The sequence below is a fragment of the Homo sapiens genome, chromosome 6 (genome assembly GCF_000001405.40).
Source record: "Homo sapiens chromosome 6, GRCh38.p14 Primary Assembly".
NCBI classification, from domain to species: Eukaryota; Metazoa; Chordata; class Mammalia; order Primates; family Hominidae; genus Homo; species Homo sapiens.
In genome coordinates, this window is record NC_000006.12 from 80,104,238 (window position 1) to 80,118,416 (window position 14,179).

Below are 14,179 nucleotides of genomic sequence, written 5' to 3' on the forward strand. Positions count from 1 at the left end.
CAGTGAGAGCAAGTGATGCAAGAGTCATTCTGAAGGGTGAAGAGCAACTTTGCTTTGTATTCCAACTCCATAGTCATGGGTTCTGCAATTGGAAATAGCTTAAACAAAGAGGGGAATACATTTTAAGGATACGGTGATGTCTCATAGAACCCCAGGACCAGAAAGCAGTTAGGCCTTGGGAATAAATGGAATCAGGAACTCAAATATAATCACACTCTTCACCTTTTCTGGTTCACGAAATTACTGAAAACTCCCATTTTTTGCAGTTCCTAGTGGCATTTAAAGATAATCTGATCTTTCTTTCTAAACTACACTTCCAAAATTCCCAGAAAAGGACAGTTTCCCAAATTGAGTAAATGTGGCCAGGGCAAGGGGAATGGAGGAAAGTCCCACTGTAATAACATAGACATTTTCATGGTTACCAGGCAAATGGTGTGGTAGAGATGGGGAAAATTTAAAAAATCAGTTTGCAAAACAGGTGAATCTGGCAGGTGCTCTGTTTGTTTTTCCTGGCTGCATGTAGTTGAAAGTTCAAACCTCTTAGACCTTCAAAATCTCCCTTTAATCTGTTTTTCCTACTTTTTCTGTTAACCCTGTATCATTCCCTACACCCTGAATCTAGAAGCACCAAGCTATTTTCTCTTCCTGGAATGCACTGTGCTCTTCATGCCTATCAGCCTTTATACAGGTTTCTTCTTAGTTTGGAATGCCATTTTCTCCCTAGTCTGCCTGGTAACTTCTAGTCATCTTTTAGGTCTAGCTCAGAGTTATATCTGGAAACACTTGACTTTCAAATAAGAGTTTATTGCTCTTTTTGTGTTTCACTTTGTTTGCACTATTCTAGGACTCCTATCACATTGGATTGTAGTTGCCTAATCTGTCTCTTTTCTCTACCACCTTGGACATTTTAGAAGTAAAACTATGCCTTGATCTTATTTGTCTCAATGGTGGCTTGTCATTGGGTTGTACGTAGCAGAGGTTCAATAAAATTCTCATCAGTTATTATTTTTCTCTTTTTCTCCCCGACCTAAATAATCTCAGTACCCCCAGCTCCCTAAACTATCAACAAATAGAAAAAAAGCTCTATTCATTTTTATCCTTGTTCTTTACTCTCCTTAGTTTAAACCCAAATTTGACTATGTAAATGTAATTTCATTTTGTTACCCCTTCCTTCATTAAAACAAAAATACCCTTCATGCACATGCAAAACACTCTACCCCACACTATTAAAACAGCAGAAATGAACACTAACAAAAGCCAAGATAAAAAATTTCCCCAATGTTGAATTTTTGGACTTAGTGTGGGGGTAGGAAAAATGGAGACATAATTCTGGTTCTCCCTTTGGCAGTTTTCAATTGCTGTTTCTTAATCTCAGTCAGAAAACACATTTCTCTGCCTCTCCTTTTGCCCCATTTCTACCCTCTCCTCCCTTGCCCCTGTGCAAAACCAAAGATGGGTTAAGAGGCAAGGCATAATGGAAGAGGAATGTTCTTTTCCTCCACTCCCACTTTCTTCTTCAAATTCTGTTTTGGGACCATCCTTCCCCACCCTCCCATTTTCATCTGATGGACACACTGTCTCTGTTGTCTCTTGTCATATTTGATTTTATGATATTTCATGTTTTATGTGCTTTTTTTTTTTTTTAGTAAATTCATGGACAGAGAATGTATCCTGGTAAACACTTAGATTAAAACAAATTTACATAGTTGATTACTATAAATGAAAATTAGTGACTCAAATTCTCCAGGTTTCTAAGCTACTTAGACTAAGCCAATCAGGTAATTTTTGCTACTTCTGGGCAAAATGTATCTGAATTCCTATTCAGTGGATTTGCAGGATGAAATCTAAGTTTACCTCTTTCATCTCTCATTTAAATGTGGAAAAACGAAATCAATAAAAATCTATATATGCTTATTAAGCATTTTAAGGAGGGTGTGAATAAGGAGTGAAAGCTTTGAGCAGTGACTACAGCAGTTTTTCGAAAGTCAAAACAATAACCAATGCCAATCAGTAGCTCTCTTCACCTCTCACACAATAATAGAGACAGGACAGGATAAAAAAGGGTTACATTTAAAAAAAAGTATGGATGTTAAACCATTGGAAATGGCACTGTAAATGACACCGGAAAAGATCGCCTCCAGGCACTGTGTGGAACTTTGCAAACTCGGGTCCTCACCCGAGGACCGCACGGCCGACCTCGGGGAGGCTCCACCCCAGAAACTATTTCATTGGCGCCACCTCTAGCCCACACTTCCCCTCTTCCGCATGCGCACAAGGAGCAGAAGCCGACCAGCTCGTCACGTCGCCTTCCCCGCCCCTAAATTTCCAGTTCCGATTGGTCTGTTTCATGGGACCGCCCCTCTGGCCCGACCAATGTGGAAGCCTCCTCGGGTGCTCCGCCCTCCCCGCAGGCGGCGTGCGGCTGCATAGCCTGAGAATCCCGGTGGTGAGCGGGGATGGCGGTTGTAGCGGCGGCTGCCGGCTGGCTACTCAGGCTCAGGGCGGCAGGGGCTGAGGGGCACTGGCGTCGGCTTCCTGGCGCGGGGCTGGCGCGGGGCTTTTTGCACCCCGCCGCGACTGTCGAGGATGCGGCCCAGAGGCGGCAGGTGGCTCATTTTACTTTCCAGCCAGATCCGGAGCCCCGGGAGTACGGTGAGCCCTGGGACTGCCCACTCGGTCCCGCTGCAGCCCGGACTCCCAGGCTCGCAGGCGCCCGCGAGGGGCAGGGGCCGGCAGGCTGCAATCCTTGCATCCCAGCTTATTAACTTCCTGACTCTCTGGAACCTCCTTGCCTCAGGGTCTAACTGTGGTTCACTTCTTGCTCTATTTTTGTGACTGTTCAGCCCTCGAGACGCAGTCCCCCCTCCCCCGCAACTTTGAGATGGGTGAGAGGGCATACTGCCACCTGGAAGAGCCTGAGGGTGGAGGGGTGGTGCCCAGGGAACGCCTCCCTTTTCTCTGTCCTCCGTCCTTGCTTTCTCAACCCAGGCCTTAGGTGTTGTTCCAGCCTGGCCAGGACTGGGCCACTAGCTTAGGTAGAGGCATTTAAAAGATATATATATATGTTTATATATATATATTTTAAATGTATATTATATATATTATATATAAAATATATATATGTATATAAAATCAATTCAGTTACTCAGTCCCTTGGTTTCTTCTTACATACAGAAATTGTGTGTATGTGTGTGTGTGTGTGTGTGTGTATATATCCACACACATATATATATGTGTGGATATATATACGCGCATATATATGCATATATATGTGCGCATATATATATATATGCATATATATATATGCACACATATATATGCATATATATATGCATATATGTATATATGTCCCTTGGTTTCTTCTTACCTACAGAATTCTGAGTAATTGAACTGATTTTCCCAAGGTCACAGAACAGGTCCTTCCTAGAGATGTGAAAGAATTCAGACTTTCTACTTGAGCTTAGTACTGAGCTTGTCCTGGGCTATGCTGCCACTTAGCCAAGGAGGTGAAGGGGATGAGAGGAGGAAGCCATAGGAAGGGCATGTAGCAAACTCCTCATAGTATGACTGTTGCATGATTTTTACCATTTCTGCAAGTTTCATGTAATGTCTCTCATCAGAATATCAGATCCAGTGTCTCTCTTCAGAATATCAGGAAACTGTAGGGAAACATGTATTGCTTCCTTGTCTAATAACTTCTCATGTGCATGCTAGAGCTGACATTTTTGGAAGTGTGTCTTGTGGATAAGAATGAACAGTTATTGAGTGCTTACCAGGGTCAGGTGCTGTGTGTATGTTTCATCATCTCATTTAAGGGTTAGGACAACCTTAAAAGGTTAGTAAAGTTTTTATTCCCATTTTGCAGTTAGGTTAATGGAGTCTTGAGACAGTTTGACCAAGATTACACAGGTAAGTTAGTGGTAGCTCCAAAGCTCCAGCTTTGGAATCTAATTGATCAGATTCCAGAGCTTCCATTCTAAACAATGTACTAAGATGCGTGTAGATATAATTTACTTGGAGGGCGTCCCAGTATTGTGAAACAGTAGGTACCATAAAGGTTAATAGTAGGTGTTTTTTTTTTTTTTTCCACCACCAAGATGAGCCCTCAATTCTGTCTTCAAAGCAAATTCTGTCTTCAAAGCAAAGAAATTTTGGTCTAATACTTGAGAAATAGTCCAACTTTCCATAGTTGTAAACTTACTAAAATCTAAGTAAAATGATATCATGTTATCATGATATATATCATGATATATATAAACTTGTTCTTATTTTAAAAATAATACAAACATATTAACAGATAATTTGGATAATGGATAAAAAGTAAAAAAAAAAAAAAAAAATCTGCCGGGCGCAGTGGCTCACGTCTGTAATCCCAGCACTTTGGGAGGCGGAGGCAGGCGGATCACCAGGTCAAGAGATCGAGACCATCCTGGCCAACATGGTGAAACCCGGTCTCTACCAAAAATACAAAAATTAGCTGGGCGTGGCAGCGCATGCCTGTAGTCCCAGCTACTCGGGAGGCTGAGGGAGGAGAATCGCTTGAACCTGGGAGGCAGAGGTTGCAGTGAGCTGATATCGTGCCACTGCACTCCAGCCTGGTGACAGAGCAAGACTCTGTCTCAAAAAAACCCCAAAAAACCAAAAAACAAAAATCACCACCCACTGCAGTAAATATTGCTAACATTTTGGGTGTATCCTTACAGGTATTTCCTTTTAGTTTCGTATTTTCCATACTTTTAGTTTTAATACAAATACAACTTATTTAGTCGGAAGAATTATCCTACAATTCACTGGAGTTTTTATAACCTTCTTGAGAATTTAGAAGAACTGTTCCATGGAGTAGAGATGCTACAAGTCTTTTACAAGTTAAATTCTTGACCCCGGAATCAGATTGTCCTAAGTTTGATCTTGCCTTGGCTGTCTATAACTTTGGAGTTACTACTTATCCTCTGTAAGCCTCAGTTTCTTTATATGTAAGGGGTTAATAATAATACCTACTTCAGAAGGTTGTTGTGAGGGCTACATAAAACAATGTCTATAATATACTTAACACTGTTTGACAACTGAGAATCAAGCATTCAGTCAATAAGTGGAACCTTTAAATAATTACCATTATGTTTTTGTTGTTAAAATTTTGCAATTTTGTAAATAATGCAGATACAAGCATTTCATGCATATGGGTTTTATGTATCTGAGATTATTTCTTTAGGATAGAGTCCTGAATACTTTAATGGATTTTAAGTGCATAGTTCAAATTTATACCCATTTATACCCCATAATATGTATAATAGTGTGAGTATTGGATATTAATGCTAAAATTAGGTGTGTTCATGTACACTCTTGGATATTTTGTGCTAACTGTACTTTGTTTTAATTTTTGTTTCATTTCTGTTGAGGAATATTTTCCCATGTTTTTGTTAAATTGATTTATTTTTACTTAAGAATTGAATATTAGATGTATTTACATATTTTTAAAAGTATACTCAGTATTTTTCCTATCAATACTATCTACGATTATTGCATAGCTGCTCTTTTCCAGGTGTTGTGTTAGACATCAGTTTATAATCCTCACAGTAACCTTGTGAACTAGACAATATTATGCTCATTTTAAAGATGAGAAAATTGAGGCTCAGAAATGTTAGTACTTACCCAAGTCTGGTAAGTAGCAGAGCCAGAGTTTGAATCCTGATGTGTCTTACTCCAAAGCCTCCCACACTACTTATATACTAAGATTTTGTCTGTTAAAAAATATTGAAGAACATACTAACTTTCTGCTTTTCACATGTCCTGCAAATACTTTTCACTCTTTTATTTTGGTTGTTTTGACATATAAAAGGTACTGCTTAAAAGGAGGTAGTCAGATTAGACTCTGAGTTGGTGACACTTATGCTGCTTTATGCTGGCATGTTTGCTCCCTTTATTACACTGTGTTGTTCTCTGAGAACAGTTCATCCTGGCTTCTCCATGCCCCTGATTCTTGGGCATTGTATGGATGTGAGTTTGTTTATTCAGTCATTCTCTGCATTTTTATTTTCTCCTGGATGCCATACTCTCTGCTAGCTGCTAAGGATGTGATCATGGACCTGTCGGAGGGTAATCTGAACCTTCGTTTTGGACACTTGGTATCCCCTATCTGCCAGGAAATTCAAACTTTTTGTAGTTTTTTCATCCAGGATTTGGCTATACACAAGGAGGTCATCCATATACTGGAGTATACTCCCATTTCTTAATTAATTGCAGACCCCTCAGATTCCTCTCTAAGGCCCAGGCAAAGCAATGGGGGCTATCCTGAAAACCCTGAGGGAGAACTGTCCAAGTGTATTATTGTTTTTCTCTGGCATTAGGATTTTCCCATTCAAAGGCAAAAAGGTATTGGGATTCTGGGGCCAGAGGAATGGAAAATGAAGCATCTTCTAGGTCTAGGACTGAGAACCATTTAGCATCCCTTGGCACCTGAGCCAGGAGGGTATATGGATCTGCCACCAATGGGTGGACCTACCAGTGGGTCTTAAGAGCCCAGGGGTAAGTAATACCTTAGCTGTGGATGCTTGGCCTTTCCTTGCTTCCAGCTTAATTGGGTATTGTTTTTGATTGGGAAAATAAATAGCTAGGGGTCTTTAAGCTGTATTTTGGCTGGCACTGCTGTTTTAGCCTTCCTTGGTTTTCCAGTATACCATGCCAGTGTGTTAACCTGTTTATTAATGTGGTCTGGGACAGTGTCTGTATTTTTGACTATTAGCAATTTCACCAGATGATGCTTAAATTGTAGTAGTGCCCCTATTTTAACCATAATATCTCTTTTTAACAGGGGGCCTGGGCAGCTTGATACTACTAGAAATTACTGTTGGAAGATTTGTTTCTCAATTTGACAAATCAAAGGAGGAATAAAGGATCTTACTTGTGGCTTTCCTTCCATTCCCATAATGGTCGTGGACTGGGAGGAAAGTTTTCCTACATAAGTAGTAAGGAAAGAAACTGAATTTGTATTGAAAAGAAACTGAATTTGGGTGCCCATGACGTCCAGAGTTACCTGGGGGCTCCTCAGTAGTAATTACGATGTTCCTGAACAGGGGCAGTGAGGAAGACCCTGGGTCGCTTCAGTCTTCATCTAATTTCTCTTTTGCACTGCTAGAGTTTTGCCTTATTGAACCCCTTGGTGGGAGCAGGGCCAGTCAATCTTCCAGTGCCAGGGGTTGTAACTGATGCTCTCGCATTTTTGGCAGGGGACTGGCAGGGGCTTAATATAGTCCTTTATCCAATTCTCGTTTTTCTTGCATTTGAAGCAAGAGTCTTTGTTGTGCAGATTATCAGAGGCAAGCCAAATCAACCAAATTCCAAGTGGCTGGTGTGCTCCATCAATTCCTGCAGGCCTGAAATAGGTAGCCTAGGAATTCCAAATAAATAGAACACATGATGACTTGTTGGAAATTCGCAGGAAACAAAATAACTATTCTCAGAACCAAATAAAAGCCTTCCACTAGAAACTAAAAAATGTCTATGGTTTTATATATATGCATACACAAGTAAAACCCAAAGGAGAACAAATAGCAAACAAATGAAAATTAGAAGCAAAAACAAATAGACAGGAAACCATCTCTAAATTTTTCCTACTTAGTCTACCCGGGGGGCTACAGTGTTACCCAGAGCCCCCCAGAAAACCACATAATGAATATTTTATTCCTGATACACAACTCAATATCCTTAATTCCACCAGTATCACCATACATACTGTGCAATGAAGAAATTCACTCTAGGCACATGACCAGTAAGTACTCCAGTGCCAGCTTGTTTAGTAAAGTTATACTTAAGTCATGTGAACTTGAAAATTGCTTAGACTTATTTACTTAATTTATGAGCGCTCCTTTAATTATAAGCCAATCTGATAGACACAACATATAACAGTAAGTGTACATACAAATAAACACATCTAGACATGTATACACAAACACAAATGAAGATCCAATAGCTTTTTACCTTGGAACTCTAGCCATGAGATAGCAATATAAGTCCACTGGTTTTACTGTTTGACCCAATGGGTAATCCAGTGAAGGCTGTGAACCAAAATTTCAGGTCAAGCAGTTTCCATGGTAGTTTGATTTTTAAAGGCCAAACCTCCCCAGACTCCAAACACTGGGGCCAAACAGCACCAAAGGAGAACACCACATGCTAACCAGGCCAACCCTACTTAGAACAGCAGCACAAAAGCCTGGATACATGCACCTCCATCCCACCTTCCCATTCAACAGCAAACTCCAGAATTCCAAGCAATACTGGGCCAAACAGTATTGCAAAAGAATATCAAGTTTACTGAATCCTTATTTCCCATTACTATATCAAACACACACAAACAATGACTGCAGCACAGTCCAACTGCTGCAGCAACAAACAAGCCCCAAGAGTGTCCAGACTGTCCCATTGTCACCTGTGAGAGAAAATTCCAAGGAGGCCTTTGTGCTAGACCTCAGAACCTCTGCCGAGGGCGTCCCCTTTGGAGAGGTTCAGGTCTGGAGTTGGATTCCCCGGGGTGTTCCCCTTTGGGATCCAATCTTAGAGTGTCAGACGTCTCTGACCTTAGTTAGGCATGGGTGCTGCTTTGTATGTTTTCCCTCCAGAGGTGATGGCGTACTATGAAATTTGTTTTGTCCCTGGATGAAAGCCTCAACTTCTAGCATACTTATGATTTGATAAGACCATGCTTTCCCTTGCTTCCCGTTCCACTAGAGTGTTAGCCATGAACTTTAATGATAGGAACCGGAGGTGGGTGCATTTCTTTTGTCCTTAGCAAGTCAGATAGAATAGGAGAAAGGTCAAAACTCCTAAGAGACATCATTGTTTGCCATTACTGGTTAACCTATAGGATAATTTGGCATAAGAACCCTGTAGGAGAATTTAACATAAGAAAACAAAGTTTAAGTCACCTGAAACGTGTGAATTCACCCTGGATGAGCTGCCATGGCCAACTGCAACACACGTAAGGATCATGGACTATAGCTGGAAAAGATAGAAAAGAGTCCTCTCCTTCCCCCTCCTGGTATGGGCAGCTATCCCCCTTGGCCTTCAGGTAACACTGGAAAGTGGCCCTGGCCAGTTGCCCACAATTATCAGGGAGCTACTAGGAAATGGCCACTGAAAGACTGAAAAAGAAAAAAAGGAAAGGACTCAGGCCTCTCACCCAAACTGGGCGGTGGTGGTCAGGTGCTTCCACATAGAAAACTCTTGGTTTCACTGGAGTGTGGCCCCGGCCAGAAACCTGCAGTTGCCTCTGTGCTTAGGCATTGTGCGCTGAAGGGCCCAAGTTGGAAAGGGAAAAGAGAAAAAAGCATTCCCCTGTATGGAGCAGAGAGGAAAACGAGAAGAAAAATAAATCTCCAATTTTGGGCTTACCTCCTGGCTGGCTTTCCAAAATACGTTACTGGTGGAGGATGTCCAGGTTCTTGGCATTTTGAACAAAGAATTGGACAAAAGGCACAAAGAAAACAAGGAAAAAATGAAGCAACAAAAGCCGAGATTTATTGAAAATGAAAAATGCACTCCACAGGGTGGGAGCCGGCTGGAGCAAGTGGCTGAAGATTGCAGGTTACAGAATTGTCTGGGGTTGGTCACTTTCCGCAACCAATCAGAAGCTGAAGTTACAAATTTACACCCTATGCAAATGTCTAATTGGTCATAGAAAGCAACCATTCAGAGGCTGAAGTGAAGTTACAAAGTTATACTCCTATGCAAATGAAGACTTGGCCCATGACTAGCCTGATTGGTTGTGGGAGGGGATCAATCAAAGGTACTTCGAATTTTTTCATCTGCCACGCAGAAAAGGGGCAGGAGGGTTGCAAAGGGAGTGGCTTCTGGTCCTTTTGTTACTTGGGCATGGGAAGTTGGGGTTGGGGTTTTCCTTTTGATTTAGTTCTAGGAAGTCAGCATGAGTTGGCCTTAGGTTCCCTGCCTCCAGACCCTATTCTGCCTCAAAGGAAAGAAATGGCAAGCTCTGGAATAGAATATAGTAGTGCTAGATTTTTTTTTTTTTTTTAATTAAATACAGGGTCTCACTCTCTTGTCTAGGCTGGAGTGCAGTGGCTCAATCATGGCTCACTGCAGTCTCTACTTCCCAGGCTCAGGTGATCCTCATACTCAGCCTCCAGGGTAGCTGGGACTACAGGCATGCACCACCATGCCTGGCTAATTTTTTGTAGTTTTTGTAGAGACAGGGTTTCACCATGTTGCCCAGGCTGGTTTTGAACTCCTGGGCTCAAGCAGTCCTCTTGCTTTGGCCTCCCGAAGTGCTGGGATAAAAGGCATGAGCCACCACGCCTGGCTAGTGATGCTAGATTTAAGCTATATTTTGGAAGTAGGATTTGATAGGTTGGATGTGAAGGATGAAAAAAAGGAAGACATTGTGAAGATACCTCACTGGTTTGTGGCACGGGAACCTGGGTGGAGGGTAGTGCCGTTTGCTAAGATGGAAAAGATTAGTTTTGGGAGCCGACACAAGAATTCAGTTTGTGCTTGTTGAAAAGCTCAAGAAACTCAAGTGGAGAACTGATGACTGTTGGATATAAAAGTCAGGAGTTCAGAGGAGAGGCCTGGCTGGGTTGGAGATAACCATTTGGGAGTCACCAACATATAAAGGGGGTTTTAAAACCACTTAGAGATTGAGTAGAGGAACTAGCTTAAAGGAAGGGAAGCACCATTGTTTCTTGACAGAAGTTACCAGGTGCCCTGAGATGGGGCAACCCAGGGACTCTAGACCCAGTCTCTTCAACTTTACAGTTTTGTTCCTGTCACTTTTGTTGTCTTTAGTTGACCCTTCCTCATCCTCTGCCAATACCATTTACTTCCTTTCTTATCATGGATATGTGATACACACTGGTACCTTACAAAGGCAATTGCCTTTATGGATCTTTCATTTCATTTTTTTTAAGAGAAGGGGTCTTGCTATGTTGCCCAGGCTGAAGTGCAGTGGCTATTCACAGCCACAATCATCATGTAGTACAACCCTGAACTCTCCTGGGCTCAAGTGATCCTCCTGCCTCAGCCTCTTGAGTAGTTGGGACTATCGTCACGTACTACTGTGCCTGGCCCATTTACATTTTAATACAAAATGTTCTGTCCCTGACATTTGGGTTCTCCCTCAGTCTTATTTTATGAAGTAGATGCTGGCTAACTCTTAGTAGAGTTTAGAATAAGATAGAGGTACATACCTGGTCAATAGAAAGGGATTCCTGGAGAATAGGGTATCTGGATGGAGGGTAGAGGTTTTGTTGGGGAAAACAGGTAGTTTCTTAGTATCCTGTTATTTCATGATGTGAATTAGTGCCAGATTGTTTCATTGACATCATTCATCATACTTCACCAGGCATATACTGATTGTCACTTGTGTGTTACGCACTGCGATAAATGCTGGGGTTTCTTTTTTTTTTTTTGAGACAGAGTCTCGCTCTGTCACCCAGGCTGGAGTGCAGTGGCGCGATCTTGGCCCACTGCAGGCTCTGCCTCCCAGATTCTCACCATTCTCCTGCCTCAGCCTCCCAAGTAGCTGGAACTACAGGCGCCTGCCACCACGCCTGGCTAATTTTTTGTATTTTTAGTAGAGACGGAGTTTTACCGTGTTAGCAAGGATGGTCTCAATCTCCTGACCTCATGATCCACCCCCCTCGGCCTCCCAATGCTGGAGTTTCTAAGGAATATGAGGATGTGCTGTAACACACAGGTCTATATCAATAACTAGGCAGTACAGAGGAAAGCCAGTGCCGAACGTATTGGCACAACCTTCACTTTCTGCAAGTAGTCCCTAATTTTCTGTATCATAGCTGTATATTTTTATGTGTTTGGGTCTAAGCTATAAATCCACTCACTGACCGTGTGCTCTGCTCTTGGCCTTATTTATTTCTGGAGATTGCTGACATTTGCCCTTTTCCTCAGATGCTCTATCCCTGTGGGAGGCTTCTCTTTCCCTTTAACACTGCTGCATACTGCATAGTTATTAAAGACCTACCCCATCAGACTGTTGATGCAATAACACCTCTCATTTGCCCCCCTCCTGCAGTTTGTCTTTGAATGTGACATTGGTAGGTCTTTTTTCTTAGACATTTCTTTCTCTTTAAGTTGTTGGTTAATATTTTTCTTTTAGTTTCCTTAAACGTTTATTGAAATAGTGTTTGCATGTGTTCATTCATTCATTCAACAAATATTTATTTAGCACCTATTACATGTCAGGCCCTGTTGTGAGCACTGAAGACACAGCTCTGATCAAAAGCATTTAAGGATACCAGTCCTCTTGGAGCTTATGTTCCATTATGGTCTTTACATTCTGCCTATATGTCACCTCATTTTTTCAGCAGTGCTGATGACCTGCATATTCATGATTCTTTACTTAGTACAATTTCAATTAAACAACTCAATGCCAGCCACAGAGCCCTGTTTTAACAATAGGCAACCATTAACTTGCATCCTTGATATAGAAGAAAGTGTGCTGCTGTATTTTGTTGTTGTTTGTTTTGCTATACCTTTTTATCTTGAAAAAGAATTACCAGTCTGGTTTTAAAATGTAGCAGTCATTTATTAGTACTGTGTGATTGCATAATTAGGTAACTGTGCTTAATAAATTTTTAGTGATGTATATAGATTATTTTTTAACAGTCTTACCAGCAGTACAGCTTTGGTTAGCACATGCTATAAGTAGGTTTATCTTACTATGGCAGACATAAGCATAGTCTATGAATAGTCTTTGATGTAACCTCTAGGAGAATAAATAACTCTAAGGAAAATATATATTAAAAAAAATTACCTGTGAATAACTTGTGATTTCTTCTTGCCTTGTCCACAAATCATGCTGTAACTTTAAAAAAGAAATGAAAAGTAAATGCTGCTCCATTAAAATTTGTAATTTAAAACTTAGAAAAGTATCTGGTAGAATAGCAATTAATCCAAAACCCTAAAATTTTGAATCTGTTTGAAAAACTATTCAGGAGTGAAAGTTTAGGTATTCACATGGAAATAATTACCTTTAAATACCCTTACTGGTAAATTATTTTATACAAGACGAATAGATTCTTTGTGGTTATCAGACAATAATTGAAATGTTTACTTTGTATGATTTTTATTATTAAAGTCTTTGCTTCCTCCCTACTAATAACTTGCTGAGCATCAGTGCAATAAGATATCATGTCATTCAGTATTAATCTGAATGTTCAGCAGACTTGAAATAAATAGCAACTTAGATATTTAGACATTTTGTTGGGAATAGGCCCCCAAATCTGGCCATAAACTGGCCCCAAAACTGGCCATAAAGAGAATCTCTGCAGCACTGTGACATGTTCTTGATGACCATGACACCCACGCTGCAAAGTTGTGGGTTTACGGGGATGAGGGCAAGGAACACCTGGCCCACCCAGGGCGGAAAACCGCTTAAAGGCATTCTTAAACCACAAACAATAGCATGAGCGATCTGTGCCTTAAGGACATGCTCCTGCTGCAGATAGCTAGCCCAGCCCATCCCTTTGTTTCCTGTAAGGAATACTTTTAGTTAATCTATAATCTATAGAAACAATGCTTATCACTGGCTTGCTGTCAATAAATATGTGGGTAAATCTCTGTTCGAGGCTCTCAGCTCTGAAGGCTGTGAGACCCCTGATTTCCCACTCCACAACTCTATATTTCTGTGTGTGTGTGTCTTTAATTCCTCTAACACCGCTGGGTTAGTGTCTCCCCAACCAAGCTGGTGTCAGTACATTTTTATTCTGGCTAGGTTCTTAGCTATGGAAATCCTCATAGACAAGTCAAGATCTTACTTTATGAAATGTATGCAATAGGAGAGTCAGTGGGATGTCACTGTGATTGGGAAAAATGTTTACCCAAGACTATTATCTTCTGAAGCTGGGCACCAATATATACTTGAAGAATATTTATAAAATCGAGAAGGATTTAAGGAAAGTACAGGCCTACCTCGGACATATTGTGGGTTTGGCTCCAGACCACTACAATAAAATGAATGTTGCAATATAGTGAATATTACAATAAAGTGAGTCACACAAATGTATTGGTTTCCCAGTGCATATTAACATGTTTACATTGTACTGTAGTCTAGTAAGTGTGCAATAGCATTATATCTAAAAGATCAATGTACATACTTTAATTAAGAAATACTTTATCGATAAAAATTGCCAACAATCATCTGAAACTTTGG

The 14,179-nt window shown here is 41.0% G+C and overlaps 1 protein-coding gene across 27 annotated transcripts in view, besides 5 other annotated features; it reads left to right on the forward strand.

The window, feature by feature from the left end:
• Positions 2,230-2,730: an enhancer, noted in NCBI's record as "H3K27ac hESC enhancer chr6:80816184-80816684 (GRCh37/hg19 assembly coordinates)". NCBI's record gives its function as "activates a minimal SCP1, AML or CMV promoter by ChIP-STARR-seq in primed H9 embryonic stem cells {active_cell/tissue: H9 hESC(primed)}" and the evidence as "EXISTENCE:reporter gene assay evidence [ECO:0000049][PMID:30033119]".
• Positions 2,230-2,776: a biological region, named in NCBI's record as "H3K27ac hESC enhancer GRCh37_chr6:80816184-80816684".
• Positions 2,317-2,516: a silencer, noted in NCBI's record as "silent region_17350". NCBI's record gives its function as "represses an Ori minimal core promoter by ATAC-STARR-seq in GM12878 lymphoblastoid cells {active_cell/tissue: GM12878}" and the evidence as "EXISTENCE:reporter gene assay evidence [ECO:0000049][PMID:35858748]".
• Positions 2,373-14,179, forward strand: part of BCKDHB (branched chain keto acid dehydrogenase E1 subunit beta) — a 360,067-nt gene continuing 348,260 nt past the window's right edge. For 25 of the 27 annotated variants that reach the window (XR_001743546.3, NR_187564.1, NR_134945.2 and 22 more), the window contains exon 1: positions 2,434-2,652. Coding sequence is in view for 18 of the 27 variants with exons in the window: in NM_001424037.1 (NP_001410966.1) it covers positions 2,457-2,652 (196 nt within the window). In the remaining 9 variants the exon portion in view is untranslated. Of the gene's footprint in view, positions 2,653-14,179 lie in introns of all 27 variants that reach the window. The other 2 variants (NM_001318975.1, NM_001424043.1) reach the window with 2 other exon arrangements.
• Positions 2,547-2,646: a silencer, noted in NCBI's record as "silent region_17351". NCBI's record gives its function as "represses an Ori minimal core promoter by ATAC-STARR-seq in GM12878 lymphoblastoid cells {active_cell/tissue: GM12878}" and the evidence as "EXISTENCE:reporter gene assay evidence [ECO:0000049][PMID:35858748]".
• Positions 2,697-2,776: an enhancer, noted in NCBI's record as "active region_24773". NCBI's record gives its function as "activates an Ori minimal core promoter by ATAC-STARR-seq in GM12878 lymphoblastoid cells {active_cell/tissue: GM12878}" and the evidence as "EXISTENCE:reporter gene assay evidence [ECO:0000049][PMID:35858748]".